Source organism: Homo sapiens, chromosome 11 (assembly GCF_000001405.40).
Source record: "Homo sapiens chromosome 11, GRCh38.p14 Primary Assembly".
Lineage (NCBI taxonomy): Eukaryota > Metazoa > Chordata > Mammalia > Primates > Hominidae > Homo > Homo sapiens.
The window spans coordinates 66,703,858-66,731,606 of NC_000011.10; the positions used below are offsets into that span (position 1 = coordinate 66,703,858).

Sequence of the window (27,749 nt, forward strand, 5' to 3'; positions counted from 1 at the left end):
TTTAGTGTCTCTGTCTAAAAGGTTTATAACTTCAAAGCCTCAGCTATTTTAAGTCCACACAGACAATTTGAAAATAATATATTGTAGGTAAGAATGCTTCCTCGTATTTCTTTTCTTTTTTTTTTTTTTTTTTTTGAGACAGTCTCGCTCTGTCGCCAAGGCTGGAGAGCAGTGGCACGATCTCGGCTCACTGCAAGCTCCGCCTCCCAGGTTCATGCCAGTCTCCTGCCTCAGCCTCCCGAGTAGCTGGGACTACAGGCGCCCCCCACTGTGCCCGGCTAATTTTTTGTATTTTTAGTTGAGACAGCGTTTCACCATGTTAGCCAGGATGGTCTCGACCTCCTGACCTCGTGATCCGCCTGCCTCGGCCTCCCAAAGTGCTGGGATTACAGGTGTGAGCCACCGTGCCCGGCCGCTTCCTTGTATTTCTTAAAGGGCACACCCTGAAGAAGGTAGGAGGGATGTGCTAATCTTGGGGATTTGCTTTTTAAAAGGGCAGAGAACCAAATAGAGCAAGATGTTGGCAATGACTGAATCTGGGTGACGGGTGTAGAGGGGTTTGTGGTGAAATGTCTCTACTTGTGAGTATGGTTAACATTTTTTGTTAAAACTAGAAATGGACAACCATTAAGACTCAAAGGGGTGAGGCAGGAAGTTTATGGAGGGACTCACCACCCACATCCTGGCCCCCCCACCCCCACCTCCCAAGGCTGGTCCCACTAGGAGCCTGAGGGGCCTACCTCTGCTGCACGACCTCCAGGTCCTCCAGGCGTTCAGGCAGGGCCAGCCCGTTGAGCCACTGCTCCTTCTCCTCCACCCAGAGTCCACAGGCCCCGGCCTCGCTGAGCATGGTGTAGAGCGCCAGGGCTGCCTCCAAGGCCCGCGCTCGCTCGCCTGCCCGGGCCTGCAGCTCCTCGTAGTGCCGCTCCAGGGTGGGCACCCGGCTCTGCACCTCGGGCGTGCGGCTCAGTGTGGGGGGCAGGGCTGCTGCCTGTTCCCTCAAGGCGTCCAGGGTTGGCCGGTGGCTTCGAATCTCCTCCTCCAGGGCCCGATGCTGCCTGGCTAGAGCCTGCGTGGAGAACTCGTCGTGCCCCAGCTCGGGGCTGGACACCAGGCGCAGTGCGTCAACCAACCAGGCCTCCATGTCGTTTGCATCGGCCTGGAACTGGTAGAGGCTGGCGGCTTGGGCCAGCCGCTGGGCACGCTCCTCGGCCAGGGCCTCTAGCCGCTCCCACTGGGCTTGGAGTTCAGCTGCACGGGCAGAGGCCTGGCTTGCCCCAGGGTGACCCTCGGCCACCAACTGCTGGCCCTGCTCCAGGGTGAGCTTCAGGGGCCCCAGCCGGCCGCTCATCTCGCCCCGCAGGGCTGTGTGCTTGTTGAGCAGGCGGAGGGCACCGGTCAGGTCTCGGCCCGTGTCGGCTGAGGCCAGGAGGTGCTGCTGCTCCCGCACCCAGGCCTCAGCTTCACCCACCTCCCAGAGGAAACGCCAGAGCCGCCGTGATTCCTCCAGCCGGGCCCGCCGCGCCGCTGCCAACTCGCACAGTGCCTCATAGCTCTGCTCTAGCTTGGCCACCCGCTCCGACACCAGCTGCGGGTCGCAAGGTCTATACTCTGAGAAAGTCACAGGAGAGGGTCAGAGCCTTAACCCAGCCCTCCGGCTGCTCCCTGCCACCACACTCTCTTGGACTTCCCTCCCTGGCTTTAGCTCAGTCACCATCGTTTGGCCACCATCTTTCCCGTCCCCAGGTTTCCCAACCCTTCCACCTCGGCTCTTGATGTGCTCCTTCCCAGCCCCTCCCTCTCCAGTGCCTTCGCTGACTTCTCACCTTTCCCTGGGTTGCAGAAGCGCAGGGCAGAGGCGCTGACGGCCCGCACCCTCTCGGCCTGCACGGCGATGTCTGCCTCCACCAGCTCGTGCAGCTGCAGCAGGTCCTCCACTCCTGCTAGGTGCCTGCCCAGGTCCTGAGACTGCAGCCGGCCCTGCCAGGCACACATGAAGTGCACATGCCCGCCTGAGCACAGACGCGCTAACCTGGCTGCGTTTTTCTTCCAACTTCTCCACGGCCCCAGGTGTTGCACCCAGGTGAGAAACCTGCTTGCTCACACATACTTGAGATACCCCAGTTCTGCCCTGGCACCCCGACCTCCTTATCCTGAACTCCCCTGCTGTGGAACAATGTTCTAACTAACTCCTGCTCTTGGAAGCTTTGCTGTGACTAATCTTCTCAGCCTCAGAATCATCGACACCCTCCTGCCGCCACCGCTCCGCCCCAGCACCCAGCAGCCTTCCTTCCACATCTCTCCCCAATCCACCCTCCTAGCCGCTGCCCGCCTGGAAGATGGCAGCAACCTCTAACGGTCTCGCTGTCATGCTGCCTGCCCACAGGCCTTCTTCAGAGTAGCCAAAGTGACTTTTTTACAAACATAAGGTACAATCAAATCTCTCCCCCTCTCAAAACCTTCTAATCACTTTATTTATTTATTTATTTTGAGATGGAGTCTCGCTCCTGTAGTGCAGGCTGGAGTGCAGTAGCACAATCTCAGTTCACTGCAACCTCCACCTCCCAGGTCCAAGCAATTCTCCTTCCTCAGCCTCCTGACTAGCTGGGATTACAGGCGTGTGCCACCACACTCAGCTAATTTTTGTATTTTTAGCAGAGATGGGGTTTCACCATGTTGGCCAGGCTGGTCTTGGACTCCTGACCTCAGGTGATCCGCCCGCCTCGGCCTCCCAAAGTCTTAGGATTATAGGCGTGAGCCACCTTGCCTAGCTGCTTTTTTTTTTTTTTTTTGACTGAGTCTTGCTCTATCACCTAGGCTGGAGTGCAGTGGTGCAATCTTGGCTCACTGCAACCTCCGCCTCCTGGGTTCAAGCGATTCTGCTGTCTCAGCCTCCTGAGTAGCTGGGACTACAGGCATGCGCTACCACCGCACCTGGTTAATTTCTGTATTTTTATAGACACGGGGTTTCACCATGTTGGCCAGGCTGGTCTTGAACTCCTGACCTCAAGTGATCTGCCTGCCTTGGCCTCCCAAAGAGCTGGGATTACAGGCATGAGCCACTGCGCCTGGCCCCTTCAAATCACTTTAAAGGATCCATGTTACTTTGAATAAAATCCAAACTCCCTGACCAGGCCTGTAAGGCCCTAGTGGGCTGGCCGTGCCCTCCCAAATCTCAGTCCATGGCCCCCACTCCTCATGCTCACAGCCCACCGGCCTTCCTTCTGATCCTGAACACACCATGCTGATCCAGGCCGAGGGCCTGTGCCGGCTGTTCCTTCTGCCCGGAACATTCTCTCCTGAGAGCTCTCTGTGCTGGCTCCTGGCACTATTCTGGTCTCGGCTTAAATGGTATTTTCTCAGAGGCCTTGTCTGACCAGCCCCTCACACCACCCTGTTCCAGTTTCATCAGTGGTTTTATGGCCCCTGCTCTTTTGTTTACGGAAAGGTCCGTGGGTTTTGTCATCAGCCTCCTCCATGTGGACACGAACCCCATGTGGACAGGGCCCTGTTTACTTTGTTCCCTGCAACTGGGGACAGGGCCCTGTGCTGGTTCACACTCCACAGAGATCGGCCGAGCAGACGGGCGGACGCACCCACTGTGGGGCCCCCTCGACTCTTGATCACTCTTACCCCACCCAGCACGCCTCACTGGTACCTTCATCTCTTCCATCCAGTCCATGAGGTAGAGCAGGTCCTGGAACACCTTCTGCAGCTCCAGGTTGAGGAGGAGCCGCTCCCGCCGGGCGGCCACCATCTGCCGCAAGAAGTCCCAGAGCCGTGCCACGTTGTGCTGCCGAGCGGCGATGCGCTTGATGTCGTGGTAGCGCTCGGCGGCCAGCTCTGCAGCCACGGCGTCCACTGCCTGCACCCGGCCGCTGTAGGCCACGATGTCCGTCTCAATGGCTTCGTGCTTCCGTACTGCTGCCTCGACAGCTGCCAGCTCCAGCCCAAAGTTGTCCTGTGTCGGGGGCAGGGAGAGGAGGTGTGGGGACCAAGGGACAGTGCCTCTGCCTGCTCCTCTGTCCTGCAGGGCACTTGGCCTGCAAGATCCCAGCTCCATGCGGTGGCTCTAAGTTCCCTCTCTATCCCACCCCCATCCTGTCTCACCAACCCTCTCTCCTGTCCCACCCTCTGGCCCCTGGCTCCCGGACCTCTAGGCCTTTTTACCCAGGTGACGGATTTTGTGTTTCATTGTCTCTCCACCCCGCGGGGCTTCTTATCCACCCTGTCTCTCTCCCAGTTCTGACCAGCCTAAGCATCCTAGGAGCCTCAAGTCCTACCTGGGACACGAGGCGCTGGTTCTCGCTGAGCCAGGTCTCCCGCATGGCAGCCTTGCGGTCGAAGCGGGCGGCCAGCTGCTCCAGCTTCTCCTGGCGGATGAGCTCGGTGCGCAGGGCCAGCTCACGCTCGTGCTCCGCCTTCTCCAGCCGCTCCCAAGCCTATGGGGTGGGGACAGGGTTAGTGGAAGGGACAGGGTGGGGAGGGCTCAGTGGGGCTGGAGGCACATGGTAAGTCCCATGGAAGCTCGGTCTGGTGGATCCGTGGAATGCAGTGGGTGAGACGCCTGGGCGTGGAAACAGGAAACAGGGCAGCGCTGGGAGTCTGTGAAGCCATGTAGAAGCTTCTGGAAAAGGACTGGAGGGAGCACGAACAGTGGAAACCATCTGATTCCTTTGTGTTGGCAGGACTGTGTGCGAACCTTATTTTTACTTTTAGTAATCTTACAATATTGTGAAAAAAATAAAAGAAGGGATAGTGAGTTGGGGACAGGTTTAACAAGCTGAGGAACTTGGGGCATAATTTCCTTATGTGACCTCGTATGGAGAGTCAGACAAAGGGACAGGGAGCCGTGTGCCTGAGAGGATGGGAGAATCACATCTGGCACAGTGTGGGCAGCTGGGCAGAGTGCTCGAGTTTCAAGTTGGGGCAGCAGATAGTAGAACTTGGTGAAGGTCGACATGGCCCCGGGTTTGGGGATGTGTGCAAGGCATCTGGGCCAGGGCCTGCCCTGAGGGTGGGTGGCCTGTGGGCAGCCACGGACCTTGTTGATGTCCGAGATGAGCCGGCCCTCGCGGGGCGTGTAGACCTTCTGGTTGTTGGCCCGAAGCTTGCTCTGGATGGTGAAGAGCAGCACTTCCAAGTTCCCTTTCTCGGTAAACCTGAGGCAGGAGGCCGGGTTGGGGTCAGAATTAAAGCCCACGAGGGTCACAAGGACTCTTTACTCTTCCAAATGGGTGTCCTGTGTTGCTTTTCTTCTTACAAAAGCAATATAAACTTTTTATGTGGAAGCCAGAAAATATGGGCTAACCAAAAGAACATCATTTTATTTTATTTTGAGACAGAGTCTTGCTTTGTCACCCAGGCTGGAGTGCAGTGGTGCGATCTGGGTTCGCTGCAACCTCTGCCTCCCGGGTTCAAGCCAATCTCTTGCCTCAGCCTCCCGAGTAGCTGGGATTACAGGCATGCACCACCACACCTGGCTAATTTATGTATTTTTAGTAGAGATGGGGTTTCACCATGCTGGCCAGGCTGGTCTCAAACTCCTGACCTCAAGTGATCCACCCGCCTCAGTCTCCCAAAGTGCTGGGATTACAGGCATGAGCCACGGTGCCCAGCCAAAATAATTCTTTTATAACCTATTTCCCCCACTTATTTTTCATGAACACCTTTCCATGTCAATAAATGCATTTCTTTAATATTATTTTCAGTGGCTGCCCATGACTTATTTTTCTTTTCTAGTGGTTGTGTTGATAAACATCCTTGAAGCTACATCTTTGTTTAATGTCCAGAAGACAACTTCCTAGGTTAAAGGGTACACCTTAAATCATTCCCTGGAATGTATAGAAACAATTGTTTTCTGGACTAATATTAGTTTCAGAGCTGATATATATTAACTCCAAAAGAACTCCATGACAGCATAAACACAGACGTTTTGGCAGGTACTGAACAGAATTGCCTAACAGCAATCACATACTTGGAACAGTTAATTGCTAAAATACTGAAATGATAAGAACCTCTGCAATTCTCACGTTACCAGCCACACCCATGTTGCCGGTTGTGACCTGCCTGTCAGGTCCAGTCCCCTCTATCCTATGCTAGGATTGGGTTGCCATGACACCTGATCAGTAATCTTATCTGATGGATCGCACTGACTCAACACATCATAGCAATCATTTCCACAGCATGTTTGTTTGTTTTTTGAGACGGAGTCTTGCTCTGTCACCCAGGTTGGAGTGCAGTGGCGTGATCTTGGCTCACTGCAACCTCTGTCTCCCGGGTTCAGGTGGTTCTCCTGCCTCAGCCTCCCGAGTAGCTGGGATGACAGGCGTGTGCCACCATGCCCAGCTAATTTTTTTGTAATTTTAGTGGAGACGGGGTTTCACCATGTTGGCCAGGCTGGTCTCAAACTCCCGACCTCAGTAGAGATGGGGTTTCACCATGTTGGCCAGACTGGTCTCGGTGATGCGCCCGCCTTGGCCTCCCAAAGTGCTGGGATTACAGGCGTGAGCCACCATGCCCGGCCCACAGCATGATTTTTAAAAACGACTAATCATTAAAAAATTTTATTTTGTATCAACTATGTTGTTTGGATGCTTCTGGTGTGGGAAATCTCCACTGCATTTATGTACTGCCAAATTTCCCTCCCTGAAGGCTGTGCTAATTTAGGCTTCCTCTCGTGGGAGCACAGCTCAGGGAAGGGTGGGGCCCCAGGGACACCTACTTGGGCGGCTTCTCCACGGTGCGGTAGGAGTTGAAGGACTGCAGCTGGTTCTGGACCCCGCTAAGGGAGTTGGCCAACTGCCGGTCATTGAGGGTCACGATCGTTTGCTCGATCCACTGCAGCAGCTCCGAGGCCAGGGACTCGTATTTCTCCACCAGGCGCTCTGCCTCCATGGCATGGTCCAGCACCTGGGAGGCAGAAGACAGGGACGTGACAGTCCCAGCCACAGGGTCCCTGGCCCAGTCCTGCAGCTCCACCCTGCCCTTGCACTAGGGCAGTAAGACCCCTCAGCCGGGCCTCCTCTGGCCTTTATGCCTACTGCCCATGGACAGTACCTTGCCAATTCTCTTGCCTTCCACGGCCAGGGCCTTCATCTTGGAGAAGTAATGGTAGTAAGTAGCCACATAGGTAATGATTGACTTCTCATCTGGCTGGTCCACATTCACGTCTGCAAGAGAGGACCATTTGGGTCAGGCCTCCCAGAAGTTCATCCATAACTTGCATCACTTACCCCAAACCCTGGGCCTGCCCAGTCCTCCAAGGCTGACATCTCTCCATCTCCTTTTAGAGCAAAATGACAACTTACCCATTCAAATGAAAAGGGCACCAAAAAGCTCATCTTTTTTTCCCCTTCTCCTGGAAACAAGAAGGGCCCTCCAAGCAGAGCACAAACCCCAGAAGCACAAGGAAGCTTTTACCCAGAGTTCCCCGTGGAGACCAAAATCAGTTGTTTGGGGAAGAAAAGCAAGAAAAGAAACAGCATTGCTATGTGGGGATGGATCATGGACTTTTAGGCTAGAATAATGTTTAAGAAGTCAATGGATTGAGGGGCAGTGGGACGGAAGGTATGAACTAAGCCTCCTGAACCTAGGATGCTCAGATCGATGGGCCCTGTGATCCCTGCAGCTCAGTGGGGACAGAGGCCAGCTCTCAGCACCATCTCCAGGTGTGATCACGCCGTTTCTAACCTCAATCCTAAAGCTCAGCTGTGGGCCCAAGGAGGGGAGTGTCTTTCAAGCCGAATTGGCTTCCAGCGCACAACTGAGGCTGACCATAACTTGAAATCTGTGGGTTCTTTTAAATAGGCCAGATTTTATCCTAAAGGTAAGACTATGAGACCAGAAGCCTCTTGCCTATTTCTGGAAATACATGGGCAGGCAGGAGCCACTGAAGTCATCTCGGAAAGTTACAGAATGCTTAGCTTTATTTCCAGGTTCTGAATTACAGCCATGCTACCCAGAGGCTCTCCAAGGAGCACTGCATGAAGCCTATGTCTGTTGCTAGCTCGCTGACACTTGTCATTCTGCAGTAAAAAGGCCCAGGTGATAGGGCTACAGGTAGAATGGAAAACAGGGAGAAAATGGCCAAGACCAGTGAACATCCACCCAGTGAACTTAAGGAGCACCTCCAGCAGGCGAGCCTTTCTCTCCTCCCTGTTCTGGTTGCACCAAGATTGGTCTCCACTTTCCCAGAGGCAGCGGAGGAAACAGGCTCTGGAGCCAGGCTGCCTGAACGCCAATCTCAGCTCCATCTGCCGGAGGACCTGGGCAAGTTGCTTACCCATTATAGGCCCCCATCTTCTCTTCCATAAACTGAGGATAACAACAGTACTGATTTCAAAGGGGTGTTGTGAAGATTAAAACACATCAAGTGCAGAACCAGGTATCAAATAAGAGCCTAATCGCAGTCAGGCGCGGGGGCTCACACCTGTTATCACAGCGCATTGGGAGGCCGAGGTGGGCGGACCACGAGGTCAGGAGTTAGAGACCAGCCTGACCAACATGGTGAAACCCTGTCTCTACTAAAAATACAAAAATTAGCCGGGCGTGGTGGGATGCGCCTGTAATCTCAGCTACTCAAGAGGCTGAGGCAGGAGAATTGCTTGAACCCAGGAGGCGGAGGTTGCAGTGAGCCGAGATCGCGCCATTGCACTCCAGTCTGGGCAACAGAGTGAGACTCCGTCTCAAAAAAAAAAAAAAGAGCCCAGTGGCTGTTACTGATCTCATCGATCTCATCGGCATTATGACCAGAACCACAGGAACCAATCAGCAAGGTCAGCTGACTACAGGCCAGTTCTGGGTGAGAGTGGAAGGTCATGCAGCTTAATTTTTTTTCTTAAAAATTTGTTTTAAAAAAATAGAGATGGGTCTCGCTGTTGCCCAAGCTGGAGTACTGTGGCTATTGACAGGTGTGATCCCACTACTGATCAGTGTGGGAGTTTTGACCTGCTCCATTCTGACCTGGACTGGTTCAGTCCTCCTTAGGTAACCTGCTGGTCCCCTGCTCCCAGGAGGTCACCAGTGCTGAATTTAGTGTAGATATCCAATCAGCATAACCCACTGCAGCCTAGAACTCCTGGGCTCAAGTGATCCTCTCGCCTCAGCCTCACTAGCAGCTAGGACTATAGGCAGGTACCACCGTGGCCAGCAACATGTAGCTTAATTTAGAATCCTAGAATTTCAGAAGAGCCCTTAGAGACCAATTCTCTCTTTTAAGACATGAGGAAACTGAGCCACAGAGAGGCTAGCCACTGGCTGTATGTCACAGAGCTCCTCTGTGCTCTGCCTGGGACACAACCCACAGTCCAGGGCTCTTTCTGTCACTGGGCTGCCTTTCTTCCTACCTACAGTCTTTTGTTAAAAAAAAAAAAAACCTGAGAAATGATTGTCACACCATAAAATTCAACCTTTCAATGTATATAATTCAGTGGTTTTCAGTGTAAAGATATATATTTTTTTTGGGGGGGAGGGGTAGTCATGGGGTCTCACTATGTTGCCCAGGCTGGTACCAAACTCCTAGGCTCAAGTGATCCTCCTGCCTTGGCCTCCCAAAGTGCTGGGTGTGAGCAACCACGTGTTTTTCAGTATATTTACAAGGTTGTGTAACCATCACCACTTTCTAATTCCAGAACATTCTCTTCCCCCACCAAAGAAGCCCCTGTATCAGTTGGTGGTTACTCCATGTCTTCCCCCTCCGCAGCCCCTGGCAACCACTGGTCCACCTCCTGTCTCTACCCTACCACCTCTTTTTCACATAGCTCTGGCCCCACCTTCGGGATCCAGCAGCTTGGTAAGTCCCAGTTCCTTTTCAGCCAGATTGAATGCATTCTGCAGATTATAGTGTGCATTACACTTCTTCAGAGACTCAAAATCCAGCAGGTCTGGCCTGGGTGGGGAGGCAAGACAGAAGGGATCAGAAACATGTGAGATCTCGAAGAGGAAGAGGAAACCCACACCAATCTTTATCCCTAAGTCACCGACCCAATTTTGTCCAGAAGTAGGCATCCCAAACCCACACTGCTGCTCACAGCCCCTCCCCACACCACCTCCCCTGCTTCCCATCACAAGTGCTCTGCGCAGCCCTGCACCCCCATGTTCTGGTTCTGCTCCGAGTGCTATTCCTTCCGTCTGACTGCTGTGCAGCTCATCTCATCTCTGTCTCCACATGTGCACCCCAGGTCATTAGCCGACCCAGCAGCTCTGCTGCGTTTGCTAACCCCATCTTCTCACCGGTGTTTATGCACGATGGCGTTGAAAGCTAGTCCATCTCTCCAGCTGGTGGTGAAGTTGTGTACATTGACGTTGGGATAACTATAAACAGAGATTCAGAAAATGGTGAGTAGGGCTGAGCTCTGTTCTATGACTCCAGGGCAGTCACCAGCTCATGGTTCCTGGAGCCCAGCACAGCCTGGGGGTCACTGACCCTCCAGTGCCACACGCCCAGGGTGTCCTCACCCTGCAGTCTTCATCTGGCACCACAGAAGCAGGGCATCCTTGGCTGACTTCTTCTCCTTGTTGTCTTCTGTCTCCACACTGATGTCTTGGATCTAGGAAGGAAGCAAGCAGGGCCCTCAGTCCCTGGACAGGAACTCCTGGTGTTATCAGAGATGCTCAGATAAATGGCAGGAAACTGCTCTTTAGACTGTGGTAATGGGGTGGACAGGCATAGCCTGAGGTCCTTTCAACCTAGGCCAGGGACCACAAAACACTGGGTGCAAGGGATTTGAGGCAGCAGATTAGGGTAGGATGCTGAAGAATGGGTGTGTCTGAGTGGAGGGTGCTGGTCCCTCCAGGTGGGGAACTGCAGGCAGAAGAGTGAACATTTTCTGAGAGCTGGCTCTCCAAGGTCTCTAAAAGCTGGCTCTCCAAGGTGAAGCCGACAGAACCCGGGAAGGAAGGGGGTGATCAGGAACGCTGTGATGGCATGAGGACACTGGGGCATGAGGAGGAGGAGGGTGACTGTTCCATTGGGGGAGGCAGGCAGAGTTTATGGCAGGGAATTGGTGCCAGTGACCAGACCCTCTAGAAGTTCCCAAATCCCTGTGGTGAAGGACCAGTTGGTAAAACTTCCAGTCTCCTGTGGACCAACCTGTGGTCCTGGTCCCATTGCACACGACCAACACACAGACCAGAACACAGGGAATTTGCCACAGGGGTGTGACATTCACCCAAGCTGGTTTCTACCCTGCTGAAAGAGGGGAGTCCACTGATCTGGTGCTTGGATAGCGCCGCCATGGCAGCTGCTACATAAGGTTCTAGATCCTCCATCTTTGTGTTTGTTGTGTCATGGGCCAGCAGGAACGGCTTGCGGTGCAGAGCCAGGGCAGGAACCACACCCTGTGTGACAGTGTGCTGGGGTACCTGGAATCGAAGGATGATGGTCCAGACCAGCCCAAGGGTCAGTCGGTGGTTTCCGTCCACAATGTCATGGGAGCCCATGTTTTCCAAGTGCACTTTCTGCTCCTTGAGGAACTGCAGTGCCTTGTCCACGTTCTCCAGGCAGTGGATCCGCATGCGGCCCTTTGTAGGCTTTGGCTGTGGAGGGACGGGGGCAAAATGGCACGGGACTGTGGGCTTCCACCTTCTTCCCCAGCCTTCACAGGGCCCAGCTTTGCACACCTTCCCCATGACCTACCTCAGGAACACAGACAGGCACAGCCCCAGGGCTGGAGCCAAAGCTGAGCTTACAGATGAGGCTTGGGCAGATTAAGATTCCCAAGGGAATTAATTGCACCCAGAGTAGGTGGGAAAAGAAATGTTTTCAATGGGGCCACTGTTCCTGTCTCCATGAAGCAATGCTCCTATGTAATCTAAGTGGCAAAGGCACTTGAAATGAACCCATCCTCTGAGCAGAGGGAGCCACTGCTTCCCGCCCTGTGCCGTCACTCTCTCTGAGGGCTGTTCTTCCAGCTGGTCCCCTTGGACACTTTTCTAAGGCCCCCCCACTTCCCTTCATGACCACAGCTCACCAGTATCTCTCCCGAGAGCACCTCGAGGAGCCTCAGCAGGTTGCGTCCGTCCCGGAGGTCGCTGTACAGGTCCCCCACCCGGCACGTGACCCGGGCCAGGTGCGAGTTTACCCACTTGGTGAAGGTTTTCTTCTGCACAGCTTCTCGTTCATCTGTGGTGGCAACATGGGTTTATTTCTGTCCCTCGAGTTCAGTATGCCTGCTTCTAAACACCAGTTGGCAGGGGTGGGGGATGGAGAAGCCTGAGAGATGGGAAGCGGGGTCCTCTAAGGAGGAGGAAGGGAAGGAAGATGACCGGGAGGAAAGCCCGTAACTTGCAATGAGCTCATAAGCAAGGTAAAGAAGAAAGATGAAAGACAGAAAATAGGCGAAGGTTGGGTGTGGTGGCTCATGCCTGTAATCCCAGCACTTTGGGAAGCCAAGGCGGGCGGATCACAAGGTCAGGAGATCGAGACCATCCTGGCTAACACGGTGAAACCCCGTCTCTACTAAAATTACAAAAAATTAGCCGGGCATAGTGGCGGGCGCCTGTAGTCCCAGCTACTCGGGAGGCTGAGGCAGACTGACGTGAACCTGGGAGGGGGAGCTTGCAGGGAGCCGAGATTGTGCCACTGCACTCCAGCCTGGGCGACAGAGCAAGACTCCGTCTCAAAAAAAAAAAAGAAAAGAAAAGAAAAGAAAATAGGCTTTGAGAAGAAAGGATGAAGACCTTTCATCCTCAGAAACCATGGGACATGCAGGGAGGGGCTGGGATGGGGCAGTCGTGGAAGCAGTGGAATGCTGGTCAAGTGACTTCATTCATCAGAGCCCCAATGTCTCATCTGTAAAATGGGAACATCACTTTCTACTTCAACAGGTCATTGTGTTGATTAAATGAGATAAGGTATATAAAACAACTAGTTGGTGCCTGGCACAAAATGGCTCCTTGGTGAGCTGCTGTTATAAAGTGGTGTGATCTGGCCCGAAGGAGAGCAAGAGCTGCCCAGGCCGGTGGGAGGTATGGCTGTTCTCTTTTGGTTGCAGACAAAGGAGAAGGTGTGGGCTAAAATTATTGCAGCGGCTCTTCCAAGCGGTCATTAGGACTTGATGGTATAGAGGCTGCAGGCCTCCTGAGTCAGCTTACTGTCCTTGGATAACTTAAAGAAAAGGCAGGCTCCTCTGCTTCTGGGGGTTGGGGACAGTACATTCAGCTGGCTGCAAGGGGATCCAGTTCCAGGACATAAACACCCCATTGCTTAGAAGAACAAGATGTTGAGAGTTGGGAACTGGGAAAACAGTGAGGCCAGGAAACATGGGGGAAAAAAAGCCAGGCAGAGTTAGGTACCAATCTCAAAAAAAAGTTAGGCAATGCCCTGCTGCCCAGCCCACAGGGGAGGGGAGCTACTGAAGAGGGGAAGTAAATACTAGGTTCCGTAGGAAAATAAAAATTAAGAACGTTCTAAGTGACAAAGTGAAAGCATCAGAAACTGCTCTGGTGATGAGGATTTCTGCCACTTTCCCACAGAGAGCCCTGTGCAAGGACCCAACCCAAGTGGCTGGGGTCTGAAGAGTCACTTTTGCTTCCGTCTCAGCACCAGCATCTCAGAAACCGGAAAGACTCATCCCTTAATCTCACATTCCTAAGCACCTCACCCATAAGACACAGCAACACACCCACGTCGCTCCGTGTCTTTCACCTCCAGCCACTATACTGGCACCAAACCTGGGGTCCTAATAACATGGGACGGCCCCATGCTCCCCAGCACCCATGAAACCAAGGTGCCTTGGGGCCTCCCGGCAGGTCTACAGGCCCCATCTGAGCCAGGAGGAGCGTGGGTCACAGGCCATTGCTGGATCCAGGGGCACTGCCCTACTGCTGGGCACCCTGGGGTGAGGCCATTTTGGCACACAGTCAGAAGACACAGAATTAGTGGCAACTAGGAGGAAAATGGGCAAAGCCAAGCACCAGAAACCAAGTGTCACGTCACAAGACGCCCACAGCATCCCTAGATCCTTACACACACACACACAACAGTGATTCCCAAAAACACACCTAAGCACTTGTGCCAGAGTGAACACACACCTGCGCAGACATCTACCTGGGCCTGTTTGCACAGATCCTCTCCTTCGAGACACTCCCTTTGCTTCCACACACACTGCCCCCGTGTACACATTCAGACACACGCTCAGAGGCCTGGAAAACACAATCTCCAGGTCCCTGGGCCTGGCTCACCCCTCCGCCTCCCCTAACTGTCCTGGCCAGCGCTCCACCGCCAGATCCGGATCCACCTCAGAGGCACTGCTGGCGCCTCCCCAGGTGCTGGCACCCCCACGCCCTCCATGGCTAGTTGCCTTTGCTCCATGCAGCACCCCAAGGCCCGGCAGTCACACCCACCCATGCCATCATACACGGTCCCTGCCAGCAGGTCCAAGCCTTTCCCCATTCCGTTGACATCTGTGTATTTTCCGGCCTCTTGTAATTATCCCCTCTAAGCTGCATCACGTTGTCTCCCAACACAAACACTGGAGTCACACTGTGTCCTGTGCCAGGTCCTCAGCTCCGGCCACTCTCCCCACACCCAGGTCCCTCTCGCCCAGGCACAGTCGTCCCCACAGGGGGCCCCCGGGCCTCACCTTGCAGCTGTTTGAAGCGTCCTTCCAGCACGCTGGCATACTGAGCAGGGTTGATGAAAGCAGCTGGTGAAAGCAGGAGGCCCCCGGGGTTGTGGGCCCCTTCCACAGCCTCATAGTAAAACTCGCTGGCCTCATGCAGGCCGTTCCCGTGCACCCTGCTCACTCCGTTCCCATTCATGCTGCCAGCTGCTAGTTACAGAGCCCAGGGCCCAGAGTCCATGCTCCCCGCTGGCAGGGGGCCAGTTTCTGTTCCCCAGTGGAACCTCAGGCTGGAGTCCAGCGTCAGGGGATTCAAGAATGGTGGGAATTTCAAGGAGTGGCAAAAAGAGTTACGGGGTGTCCCGAACTCCTGAGACAGAGAGTGGGGGCACGCCTGGCTGCGGTGAGAGGAGACAGGCGGCTCCAGACAAACAGGTTGGACAGTGTTGGGGAGGGGAGAGAGGCGGAGTGTGGCCGGCGGGGGCAGGGCCAGGCCCTGCGGGGCGGCGGAGGAGGGCACTGCCAGCGCCTTCAAGACCCGCCCATCAGGCCCCAAGTTACCTAACAATGCACAGGACCCACGAGAGGGGCCCCCAATGCAAACTCCTGTTTCCCAGAGGTTTGCAGGAACAGCGAGGGCGACCCCTCTCTGGGTGACTCTGGGAGGTCCTTCTCCAGGATGTGTGGGCTTTGAGCCCCAGCTCAGAAACAGACAAAGAGAAATCTGGAAACGAGGAAATCCTCAAAGAGGAAAAGCCAGGCACTGTGCGAGGCATTTTCCTTCACTCCCTCATCTGTGAAACGAGGGCTGTTACCATCCTTTCCACTTGCTTATCACCACCTCCAGTGCCAGCCCCTTCCCTGCCCTCTGGCCCACCAGGGCCATCCTCCACCAGGCCATCCCTGCCCCCAGACGCCCCGCTGCTGGGCACATATACCAGGCGCCCTTCCTCTGGGCTTCAGCGTTTGTCATGTGCAGCCTACACTTGCCCTTCCTCATCTTCATTCATTCAGTGTTTATTTGACACCTACTGGCTGGAGACACAGTGCTAGGCAAATCCCATGCAGAGCTGCCTCTTCAGGAGAGCCCAGTTCAGTGGTGGAGATAAACACCCAATGAGAGCACGAGGTCACACAGATGTGTGCACAGACATGGTGACAGTGCTGGGTGGCCCAAGTTATGTGCAGCCAGACATGGTGACAGTCCTGGGTGGCATGTGTCCTATGTACACAGGCATGGTGAGAGTCCTGGGAGGCATGTGTCCTATGTACACAGGCATGGTGACAGTCCTGGATGGCATTTGTCATGTGTGCAAACATGGTGGGTGGCACATGTTGTACACACATAGACATCATGACAGTTCTAGAGGCTACATGAATCCAAAACCAGAGTGCCAGGAACATTTTCCCCAAACATGACATTCTCCATAACCCACACCTTCTGTCTTCTCTGATGTATAGACACACTGGTAGGAGTGTTTCACAGCCGGCCTGAAGACCCAACCAGAAGGACAGAGAGGCCCAGGAGAAAATGAGAAGGGGTCCTGGGAAGCTATGGCTGCCACAAGGGGGTCCTCAGACTGGTGCTGAGCTGGCTCAAAAGAATCACTTGGGGAGCTTTTGAAAAATCCTGAGTTCTGGACCAAGATTCTAACTTATTGTGTCTAGGGAGGGGCTTGGAAACCTGTATTTGTAAAAAACATCCCTGGGTGATCCTGTAAAACATGTGGCCAGGTTTGGGAACCTCCCCCTTGGAGTCTCTCTTCTTCTAGTGGCCAACCCCCACCCCCACTCGGAGCACCACCTCTCGGTGAGAGTAGCTGGGACCCCTCAGACTGGGTTGGGTTGGGCTGGGCTGGGCAGCCAGCAGGTCAATGGCAATGACAAGAGTGGGATGGAGGAGGAAGCCAGACGGGGTAGGTGGCCTTGGGGTGTGTGGGTGAGTCAGCCCCATGCCAGCCACTGGTGGTGTCAGGTGGCAGCCGCACTCTTGTTGCCATGACAACTCCTCCCCCGGAAGACAGGGAGGCCGTTGGACGAGTTTCCGCTCAGAGCGGAGAGCCCAGGCCCTGGGCTGCAGGGAAGAGTAGGAGCCAAGGCAGGCAGAGAGCACACCAGGGAGAATGGGCGGCTGCAGAAACCAGCAGCAGCGGGTGGAGGGAACCTGCTTCAGGGAACAGGCAGATGAGATAATGGGAGTAACAGGTGGCAGGTGGAAGGAACAGGTGGAGAGGGAGCAGAGGGGAATAATAGACTGGGAACAGGTGTGGGAAATGACAGTGGAAATCAAAGAAGACACAACAAGGGCATGACAGGTAAGGGAGAGGTAGGCGGAGAAAGGAGTGGCAAGAGCGAGAGTGCCGAAGGATGAAGGGACATGACCCGGGGGCTGAGGCCAGAGAGGGAAGCTGTTTTAGTCAGCTCAGCCAGTCCAGGGGCCAGTGAAGCGTCTCTATGCTTGGGGGGAAGAGCTGGGGAAAGTTCTGAATGGCCTGGAGCCTATTCTTGAGGCTGGATGTGGGGACCAGGGAATTGATAGAGTGCTCTGGGTCTCCCACTTAGAAAGAAAAGTCAGTCTTCCCATAAAGTTAAAGGGCTCTTCATGACGAGCTGACAAAGCCTCCTCCAGCATCCCCCCACCTCGACCCTCCTCTGACCTCACCTGCCAGAGCCTTAATGCGAGACCTCTCAAAGAGGCGGGCCGAGCTGCTGTCATTGTCCCAGTCCGAGTCAGGAAGGTCCCAGCGGTTGTTGATGTCACTGTACTGGCCCTGGATTTCCAAGCTGTCAAAGTCTGTGGGTGACAGCGTGCTGCTCATGGTGGTAGGCGGCTTCCTGCTCCTGCAAGGAGAATGTGGCCAGTGAGGGGTGTCCAGGGACCACCAAGCCCTCCACTCACCACCGGGGCCTTCTGTCTTCTTGCCCTACCTGTGCTCCGCTCTCCTTGTGGCCAGAGGCTGCGGTTGGCTGCTCAGTGGAAATCAGCCCCCAGGGGAAGAGGGGAAGCCACCTGGGAAGCCTGGGGACGGGAATACATCAGAAGCACAGAAAGTGAAGCAGGAAGGCAGCAGCAGCTCAGAGCAATGCGGTGGTCAGGAAAGGCTCCAACGACTTCGGGCCAGAGAGGGACGGGTTTGCGGGGTGAAGAAAGGGGTGATGGGCTTCAGTGCTTCAGACAGCAGTGTGCAGCCCAGGGTAATGCAGGCAGCACATATGGGGCCCCACAGGCAATAATGACTAGAAAGTGGCATTCTTTCCTTCTACAAACTGTTTTGAGCCCATGATCAACCCAAGATGGCCTACTATACCCTGTAGGCAAGTTGAGAGAAAAAGACCCAGATTTGTTGGGCGCGGTGGCTCACGCCTGTAATCACAGCACTTTGGGAGGCCGAGGTGGGTGGATCACCTGAGGTCAGAAGTTCAAGACCAGCCTGACCAACATGGTGAAACCCTATCTCTACTAAAAATACAAAAAATTAGCTGGGCGTAGTGGCAGGCGCCTGTAATCCCAGCTACTCAGGAGGCTGAAGCAGGATTATTGCTTGAACCTGGGCGCACCTTAGAGCGAGACTAGTAGAAAAAAAAAAAGACCTAGATTCTGCTCTTGAGTTAAGAAAAAGTTATGATACGCCAGGAAGACTGACACACTGTTTAGCAAGTGCCCAGGAGTTCAAAGGAGGACACAGTATGCTTCTCTCCGCTTTGTTTCCTTTGGTTTGCCACAGAGAATGTTAGTAAGTACTCAATAAATGTCGGCTGTGACATATCCCTGCCATTGACATGCATCACGTCACCATAACTCCCTGTGGGGTGAGGGCCCACTGTTGTCCCCATTTCATAGATGAGGAAGCTGCACAAAAGATATTAAGTTGGCTGGGCGCGGTGTCTCACGCCTGTAATCCCAGCACTTTGGGAGGCCAAGGCGGGCGGATCACAAGGTCAGGAGATCGAGACCATCCCTGGCTAACACGGTGAAACCCCGTCTCTACTAAAAAATACAAAAAATTAGCTGGGTGTGGTGGTGGGTGCCTGTAGTCCCAGCTACTCGGGAGGCTGAGGCAGGAGAATGGCGTGAACCCAGGAGGCGGAGCTTGCAGTGAGCCGAGATCTCGCCATTGCACTCCAGCCTGGGCGGCAGAATGAGACTCTGTCTCAAAAAAAAAAAAAAAAAAAAAAAAGACATTAAGTTGGCTGGGGGCATTGGCTCACACCTGTAATCCCAGCACTTTTAGGAGGCCAAGGCGGGTGGCTCACCTGAGGTCAGGAGTTTGAGACCAGCCTGGCCAACATGGTAAAACTCCATCTCTACTAAAAATACAAAATTAGCTGGGCGTGGTAGCACACGACTGTAGTCCTAGCTACCGGGGAGGCTGAGACAGGAGAATCACTTGAAACCAGGAGGTGGAGGCTGCAGTGAGCTGAGATTGCACCACTGCACTCCAGCCTGCGAGAGAGAGTGAGATTCTGCCTCAAAAAAAAAAAAAAAAAAAAAAGACATTAAGTTACTGGTTCAAGGTCACGCAGCCGGAAGAAACAGTGCCGGGTTTTGAAAAGTTCTTTCTGACTCTGGGGGACACGCTCTTAATCGCAGCCTCTTGAACATAGAACATACACAGGTTCCTCAACCGTCTTAGAGGCTCATCCCAGACGGATGAGCAGCCGTGGCTCCTGCCTAGGGCCCAGGCTGGGGAAATGTGGACCAGCACTACTTACGGCTCTAACTTACGCAAACACACTCTGTCCTCAAAACTAAAAAATGAGGTTCAGAATATCTGCTGGGGATAAAAAAAAAAAAACCTCTACTGTCCAAAGTTCTTGTGTAATTTAGCATTCAGCAGCATTCAAGAGAGGAGGAGGGGACTGGGTCTGTAACTTTAACAAAACCCCCAATTTTGCATTTCTCCTAGCCCTACTTCCTAGGACCAGGGCTGTAGTCTCGGTAGTCTCGGGTTCTGGAAGGAAGGAGGTCTGGAGAATAGAGAAGTGCTGGGTGGTGAGACTCAGGTAGGTGGTGAGACTCATGGGCACACAAAGGCAGAACCTGGCTTCCATCATTAACTGATTCCATGAAGCTGAACCTGACCTACTTGAAGGTCAGGGTTGTCTGCCCCTCCCCTTTCTCCTAAAGAGAAAATGTGCACAAAGATTTTTCTTGGGAGGAGCATTAATGAGATGCAAGAGAGCTAAGGTCTAAGGCTTGTAGATTTGGGCTTTAATTCCCTGTAGAAGGAAAGGGAGCTTAATTTCTACGAGGCCTAGGACTCTTCTCATTCAAAATCCACCATTTCTCCCCACAGATTCTCTGGATTTGTTCTGTAAATATTTATATAAAAATATATTCTAGGGCAGAGTTGAATCACCCTGAGTAAAGAGTGCTGTGGGCAAGGCATGACCTGAACTAGCGTCACCTAATACTCTCAGCTTCTAGACGGGAAAGTAGTCCACACCTCAGGACCAAGTGTAATTCCATTTCTCTCGGCCTCTCAGATTAGTGCTTCCTAACCAGCAGCCACACTTAAGCTCAGCTCTGGGATGGACATCTCCAGCACTCAAACTCTCTCTGCACAGACCTGCCCACAAAAATGCCTACACCCAAGTTCCACCCTGCCCCCGCTTCGGTTTCCATGACCCCTTACTAGGAGTCACAAACTTACCAAGGCTAGCCCCCAGGAGTGTTTTGCTGGGCCAATAAGCTATTTTTAAATGACTGATTTTTTGGCCGGGTGCGGAGGCTCACGCCTGTAATCCCAGCACTTTGGGAGGCCAAGGTGGGCAGATCACCTGAGGTCAGGAGTTCGACAGCAGCCTGGCCAACAAGGCGAAACCCCCGTCTCTACTAAAAATACAAAAAATCAGCTGGGCATGGTGGCAGGTGCCTGTAGTTCCAGCTACTCGGGAGGCTGAGGCTGTCAAATTGCTTGAACCCAGGAGGTGGAGGTTGCAGTGAGCCAAGATTGCGCCATTGCACTCCAGCCTGGATGACAGAGTGAAATTTGTCTCAGAAAAAAAAAAAGACTGATTTGGATTCCTTTAGATGGGTCTACAGACTCAGCCACTTCACATATCTATGTTACCTGCCTGGCCCCAACTGTTGAGGTTTGCAAACCCTGCCTCATATTTTTGTACTCCACAAAGAGCAGAAACTCAAAGAAGCTAACCATCTGACCCTGTCTCCAAACCACAGTAGCTCTGAGGCCCCTGTAAGCTGCACAGAACCTAAACATGGACTGCTTAGGCTTATCTTTGGGGATCCAACTTGGTCCTCCCAAGGGGAGGGGCAGACAACCCTGGCCTTCAAGCAGGTCAGGTTCAGCTTCATGGAACCAGTTAATGATGGAAGCCAGAAAGGTTCTGCCTTTGTGTGTCCATGGGCACACACCTCCCTACCTACCCGAGTCTCACCACCCATCACTTCTCTCTTCTCCATACCTCCTTCCTTTCCAGAACCAGAGACTGCCAAGACCACAGCCCTGGTGGTAGGAAGTAGGGCTCAGGAGAAATGCAGAATTGGGGGTTTTGTTAAAGTTACAAAGGGGCCCAACTGGGAGCCAGACCCTCCAGGGAAGTCCAACTGTTAGAATGTCTCTGCGGATTCCTACCATTACCAGGAGAAAGTATGGAGCTAGAACCTCCTCTTCCCCCAAATAAAACCTCAGCCACTTAAATGCTCCTCTCTCCAAATTGAATTTGAAGCATGCATGCTGTGTGTTCTGAGTTTCCAGAAATGCTGTGATATGGATCAGGAACCAAGCTGGCACTGGTGTCCTTAGATCACAGACCCCCACAGGGCCACCATGTTGCAACTCCACAGCCTTCCATGTGAATGGTGCTCTCTGGCATTGTTCAGCATGTGGCTCTGAGGCTCTGCTACCTTTGTGTCTCTAGGTCTTGGTTTCCAAGCATTCTGGCTCTGTAGCTCCCTGGCCTTTTGGACAATATGCTGTGTTCTCAGCTTGTGTCCCCTGCTGCCATCTCTAGATTCCCACTGATTTCTATTTGCTTTTCTCCTACACATATCCAGCGCTGGTTTCTTGCCACTGAGTAGATCATTCCTCACCTATGACCAGGGTCTCCATGCTCACATTTCCTCAGTCGGCCAGCAGCCCCCCAGCTTCATGACCCCCTGTCATGAGGAAGCTGGAGAATCCTCAATCGTCCTCTCTTCCACAGATTCCTGAAGTCTGGCAATAGGGTGGTGCAGTAGCTAATCCAGATTACAGTCTCATCATACCTTATTCTTAGCAATTGACCTCAAGGCCAGGCCCAAGTAGCTTACACTGTTAGTGCTAGAAGAATGCCAACCCCCGCCGGCTGCAGGCTTGGGGTCCTGCTGGAATGTACTCCAGGCGCTGCTGGAGGCAGACTAGGCTCACCGTGCCGATCCTCCAGGGCAGTTTTCCTCTCTTTCAGCTGACATGTTAAGCTAGAAATCCTATACCCTGGGCTACAGGCTGCCTTGTATCCTAATTCTTCCTCTCACCACATCCTGCTCCTGATGAATTATTTCCCTCCCTCAGAGTTGATCATTCCCTCCTCTGTGCTTCCAGGGCACTTCGGCATGCAGCTAGTATTGTACTTATCACATCGCATTACGGTTAGTTGTTTACGTGTCTCTCTGCCCGCTCCACATTTAACTCATTGAGGACAAGGGCTGTCTTACTCGTTTTGGTGTTTTTCCAGACTCAGTACAACAGATATTCAATAAAGAGATATTGAATGACTTGACTATAATTCATTTTTTTTGGCCATGGAATTAATGTCTTTCTTAGGACTAGAGAGAAGCTCAAGGAAAGAATGAACACGGGATTGGAGAAGACCTGCTCCTGGGCTGGAATACTTTCAGGGTTGAGCTCAACAGCTCAGGTCTGGGGATTCTCAAACTTCCATGAATCACAACAACCTGGAGGACTGTTAAATCACAGGTCACCCCCCCATCCCCCAGTTTACGATTCAGTACTTCTGGGGTGGTACCTGGGAATGTGCATTTCTAACCTGTTCCCGGGTGACACTGAAGCTAATGGTCTGGGGACCACACTTTGAGGGCCACCCTTGTCCAAAGATGAGAAGCAGCTGGAATTGGTTAGAGGAGCCATGAGTGTTGAGAAGACACAAAGTTTCAGGGGTGAGTGTGACCCAGGGTTAGCTTCTAGGTCTGCTCAGGCCCTACCCCACACTAAACTCAAATATCACTTCCCCTCAGGAGCTCAGGCGATGGGAGAGGAAGATGAAGATGGAGTAGGTACCACAGGTAATGAAAGAAACAGCACAGCGAACCGCAGATATGCGGGAGGAGAACGGCAGAGCTAGAGAAGTCACGGGAAGGCAGAGTTGAACAAATGACAGTGAGATGAATAATAGATTAGAAGAAATGGGGACTTTGGCAAAGTTCAAATCTTATTTGCTTCTAAGTATAAATGGGTGGACTGGCAGAGAGATAAAACGAAAAAGAAGTCACAAATCAGCTCAGGGCCTCCAGGAAGGCAAGAGAAAGATGGGCCCAGGGCAGAAGGAAGGAACAGCAAAACCCCGACCCACCTCTCAGACTGTGTTCCTGATCAATTCCCTCGGAGGAAGTTAGGAACTGGGCTGAAGAGGGGGACTGAAATTTTATTTTCTCTTCTAGAATCCTCCAGTTATGGCAGATTTATTCAAATATTCAGATTCTTCACTCCCTTGCTATCTCCCTTCCCCAACCCGGGGTCACATCAATTTCTCTAAGGGAAGAATGTAAACTCCATCCTATCTTCTCCTCGGCCAATCCTTTGCCTTTCTGAATAAGCCAAGAGGTTGCCCCACACCTCAAGCTAAGACACATATTTGGAACTCACTCTGCCCCTCTTCACCTTCAAGGAAAACTGGTTTGTTGCTACCTCTGCCCATACCTGAAACCCCCGGGCTCTCCAGCGTTGGAACTGTGGCTGCTCCGAGAGGGGGAGGGCAGACGACATGTAGCAGGTTAAGACCGGGGCAAACCTGCACCTCACACAAGCATGCAATGTCCTGGGGTCAATGGGGTAAAGTTCCAAGCGAGTGGAAGGTAAATCACGACTGTGGCACCGGAGCCGGAACACCCCCGCGAGCAGGCCTTGCTGGGTAGTTCCGTGCGGGGCGGACCGCACAGCCCTATCAGCTTCCTGGCCACAGAAACGCCGCACGCGGCCGCTTCCCCGCCGCCCGAAGCGTCTGCTTTCTCCCCGGGCCAGTTCCGGCCACCACAGCCAACCGCGTGCCCCTCTCCCACACACTGTGGGGGAACAGAAGGGAGCGCGTGGAGCCAGCTGCCAAAGAGGCGAGGAGGAGCCCACGCGGCTCCGGGGAGGAGGGAGCCCGGCTCCCGCAGTCCGCCGGGCAGAGGCGGCCGAGCGCGCCCCCAGCACCTGGCCCGGCGCCGGCCCGTCCGCCCCGCAGCCCCGGCGACGCGAGGGGCCGGCGCTGTCAGACCCGCTCCCAGCCTCGCCGCGAACGTGTCCGTCAGCCCTAACTGTTCCAGACTCTTCTCCCGGCTCCAGAGAGGCCCGAGTCCCCCCCCCTCGGCCTTGGCCCCCACCGCCCTCATCCCGGTACCTGTGTGGCTGGCACGGGACCCTCTCCGTCCCGTCCCCGCCTGCTCCCGCCCCGGCTCACCCCGGCCGCCGGGACCCGACCCCGACCCCGACCCCGACCCCGCCGACCGCACGCGGCCGGACAAAGCGCGCCGCCCCGCGGGCCGGGACAAAGCGGGCGGGGCGCCGGCACCTACCTCGGCGCGGAGCCGCGGCCGGGCGGGCGGGGGCGCGGCGGGCGGGGGCGCACCGGTAGTTGCCGCGCCTGCAGCCCGGCCGCGACGGGCGGTTGCAGGCAGCGGCCGGGCGCACGGCGGGCGGCGGGCGGGCGCTGTCACGGGGCGCAGGCGGCGCGGGGGGCGCGCGGGGCGGGCGGCGGCGGGGCGCGTGGCGGCGGCGCGCGGGCGCGAGCGGCGGGACTGCGGCGCCGCGGAAGGAGGACAATAGCCTCCCCCTGCCGCAGGCCGCCGGCTCCCGCGGGAGGCCCGGGACCATCTGGAGCCGGCGGCCCCGCGGGGCTCTGGGCGGGGCCCGAGTCGCCCCTTCCCCGCCCAGCGCCATGGCAACCGAGGCCCCTCTCGGTGCTCCCCGCCGCTCCCCGCCCGGGGTAGTTGACCTGCCTCGGGGCGAACGCGGCAGCAGCTCCGAGGCCGGCTGCCGACCCCCAGCCACCTTCCGTGCGGGGTCCCCCCAAAACCCCGCCTTCCCGTCCTCGCTGGTCCCTGGGTCCCCCACCACAGCTTACAGGTCTTGATCTCCCCGGTTCGGACACCTCACCTTTGTCCCTATTCTGCTTTTCCTCCAAAATCCGTATCCCCGAGACACGCGATCCTTCCTCTAATGACACTGCCGACGAGGTTTCCCGAGATCCAGCCTCCGTTCCCCTTTCCTCTCCGGGCACCTCCAGTCCGTCTCCGCTAAGCATTCCTCTCACCCGTCCCCTCGCTCTCGCGTCCTCCTTCAGGCAGCTGGGCCGGCTCTCCCTCCCAGAACATCTCCATGGCACAGTGAAGATTCGTCTTCTACAGATCAGATGCTCCAAACAGGCATCTCAGCGCTTCTCAGCTCCTCTCATTTATCAACCAGGAGAATTCCGGCCTAGTCACCGTCTTGAGGGGGGTGGGGGTGGGGGCAGACATTTCTAGGCCTGACACGGCTGGGTTTCTCCTTGGTTTGTTAGCGTCTGAGTGGTCTAAGGTCCAAGGTCCTTAACCAAGGTGAACTGCTGCCTGCTTAGGAGAGGAAGGAATTATGCCCAAATCATGACAAACTCACAGAGTGCCAGGTGGGTGCTAAAAGCGCATCATCTCATGTGACACTCCCACCCCCACTCCAGCTCTGAGAAGTAGGTGCTGTTCTTCCAGATTAGAGAACTCAGCTCAGAGATGAGCCAGTGGTAACAGGGTGAGCTTTGTACAGAGCCGTTAGGTTATGTACTGCCCCTGAAGATGAGGGCCCGTTTCTATCCAGGGAATGCCTGAAATGGTCAAGTAAGGGCACTCAAAGAATGGGCTTTGAGTGAATTATTGGATTTAAGGTTTTATAATAGATTTATGGGTAATTTAGGATTTTGCTCCTTTCTGAAAAGGTATGCATACTGAAACAAATATGTGCAATTGAAGTACTTTCCAGATATGGTTTTGACAACCCTAACTAGTGGTGTCATCTACCTCGCCTTGGTTTTCCTAGTCTATAAAATGGGTTGGGAGGAGGGTTGGGGAGTTCCATTGAAAGATTACTTTGAAGTTCTCTCCTAGCTCTGATATCTGTGCTTCTACCACGAAACTGGAACTGGCTCTCTGGTGTGTACCTCACAGTTAGCTGCATTTGAGGCTATTTATTATTATTATTATTTTGAGACGGAGTCGTGCTCTGTCACCCAGGCTGGAGTACAGTGGCTTGATCTCGGCTCACTGCAACCTCCTCTTCCCGGGTTCAAGCAATTTTCCTGCCTCAGCCTCCCGAGTAGCTGGGATTACAGGTGCATGCCACCATGCCCGACTAATTTTTGTATCTTTAGTAGAGTCAGAGTTTTGCCATGTTGGCCAGGCTGTTCTTGAACTCCTGACCTCAGGTGATCTGCCTGCCTCAGCCTCCCAAAGTGCTGGGATTACAGACGTGAGCTGCCGTGCCAGGCCTGAGGCTATTTATTATTTTTAATAGCCACTCTTTCAGGCAATGGCATTAAAGAAACAAGGGCATAAACTGCAACTCTTCCCAGAGGTAGGATTATGTGTTGGTTGGTTCGGGGGAAGGAGGCACCAACCTGTGCATGACGGTCATCAGGGACACTTGGTCAGGGACATTAAAGCTGATGGGATGAGAATCAGCTGCCCATGGCCAGGCGCAGTGGCTCACCCTTGTAATCCCAGCACTTTGGGAGGCCGAGGCAGGTGGATCGCGAGGTCAGGAGTTCAAGACCAGCCTGGCCAACATGGTGAAACCCCTTCTCTACTAAAAATACACAAATTAGCCAGGCGTGGTGGTGGGCATGAAATCCCAGCTACTCAGGAGGCTGAGGCAGGAGAATCGCTTGAACCCGGGAGGCAGAGGTTGCAGTGAGCTGAGATTGTGCCACTGCACTTCAGCCTGGGCAACAAGAACGAGACTCCATCTCCAAAAAAAAAAAAAAAAATTAGAGAATCAGCTGCCCTGCCAAAGGAACTGGAACCACCAAGCTGCTGCTGCTGTACTGGTTACGGGAACTAAGGGTCTCAATGACAGCCTATAATATCGTGACCCAATTAGAAGTCAAGGGTATTAAGTCTTATGATTAGCAAAATAATATCTTTTATAATTTCCTATTTTCAGCATTTCATAATCCTTCAAGAAGCCTTGTAAGATAAACATTCTCATTCTTATTCTATTGATGAACAGACTGATGTTCAGACACCTAAGTGAATGTACAAGTTCACAGAATTAGTTCATGGTAGAAACTCCAGGTCTTCTGAATCCTAATATGTTCTTTCCTCTCTGCTAGACAGGGAGTATAGCAGAATGGTTAAAAGCATTGATTTTGGAGTCAGACTCCTTGGGTTTAAAACATAGTTCTGCCACCCACTGACTATGTGACCTTGGGCAAGTTACCTCCCTAGGATTCAGTTTCCTTACATGTAAAATGGCACCATAATGTGGGGAACATCAAATGAATTATTGCAGGTAAATGAATTATATGCAGCACATAGTAAGCACTTAATCAGTATCAGCCGTTATGATTTTACCGTATTATTTCCCATACTGTTTCCCGATTTGGAGAGGAAGCACATTGAATAAAGAGAACACTGAGATCACCTATCTCAGCTCTGTGACTGGGTTGCTTTGGAAACTTGTTATTTTGCTCTGTAGTGAACCAGTACAGTCAATGATGAAGAAAATATCTGGTTCCTTCTTATTTGAGTTGCAAAAGCGAATGGAATGATATCCACCAAGTTTGTTGAGCTTCTCAGTGAATCCACATTTGCTGCTTACATTACCAAGATTCATGGAAAGGTTTTGGCTCTGCCCACCAAACATACATACATAGCCGAATTCTCAGTTCTTGTTTCAATACCAGGGAAGAGGTGTCCCTCTTTTCACCTAAGATGGATTCTTCTGGCTCCTATGCTAAGTCTCATCCCCTTCTGCAGCCTCACGGCCCTCACTG

General features: G+C 53.7%; 1 protein-coding gene and 1 pseudogene across 20 annotated transcripts in view, besides 1 other annotated feature; both read right to left on the bottom strand.

Annotated features, from left to right (window-relative positions):
* SPTBN2 (spectrin beta, non-erythrocytic 2) overlaps window positions 1-27,749 on the bottom strand; it is a 62,186-nt gene that overhangs the window by 21,361 nt on the left and 13,076 nt on the right. For 4 of the 20 annotated variants that reach the window (NM_001411025.1, XM_047427496.1, XM_011545216.4 and 1 more), the window contains exons 1-13: window positions 14,586-15,006; window positions 11,973-12,124; window positions 11,365-11,538; window positions 10,459-10,550; window positions 10,234-10,314; window positions 9,774-9,889; window positions 7,060-7,172; window positions 6,725-6,912; window positions 5,045-5,162; window positions 4,284-4,442; window positions 3,659-3,961; window positions 1,827-1,980; window positions 741-1,611 (exon numbers count right to left, since the gene is read on the bottom strand). In NM_001411025.1, the coding sequence (NP_001397954.1) occupies window positions 741-1,611; window positions 1,827-1,980; window positions 3,659-3,961; window positions 4,284-4,442; window positions 5,045-5,162; window positions 6,725-6,912; window positions 7,060-7,172; window positions 9,774-9,889; window positions 10,234-10,314; window positions 10,459-10,550; window positions 11,365-11,538; window positions 11,973-12,124; window positions 14,586-14,763 (2,699 nt within the window). In that variant the 5' untranslated portion in view covers window positions 14,764-15,006. The other 16 variants (XM_047427493.1, NM_006946.4, XM_017018174.2 and 13 more) reach the window with 16 other exon arrangements.
* RN7SL12P (RNA, 7SL, cytoplasmic 12, pseudogene) lies at window positions 8,863-9,152 on the bottom strand (annotated as a pseudogene).
* Window positions 16,019-16,976: an enhancer, noted in NCBI's record as "H3K4me1 hESC enhancer chr11:66487347-66488304 (GRCh37/hg19 assembly coordinates)". NCBI's record gives its function as "activates a minimal SCP1, AML or CMV promoter by ChIP-STARR-seq in primed H9 embryonic stem cells {active_cell/tissue: H9 hESC(primed)}" and the evidence as "EXISTENCE:reporter gene assay evidence [ECO:0000049][PMID:30033119]".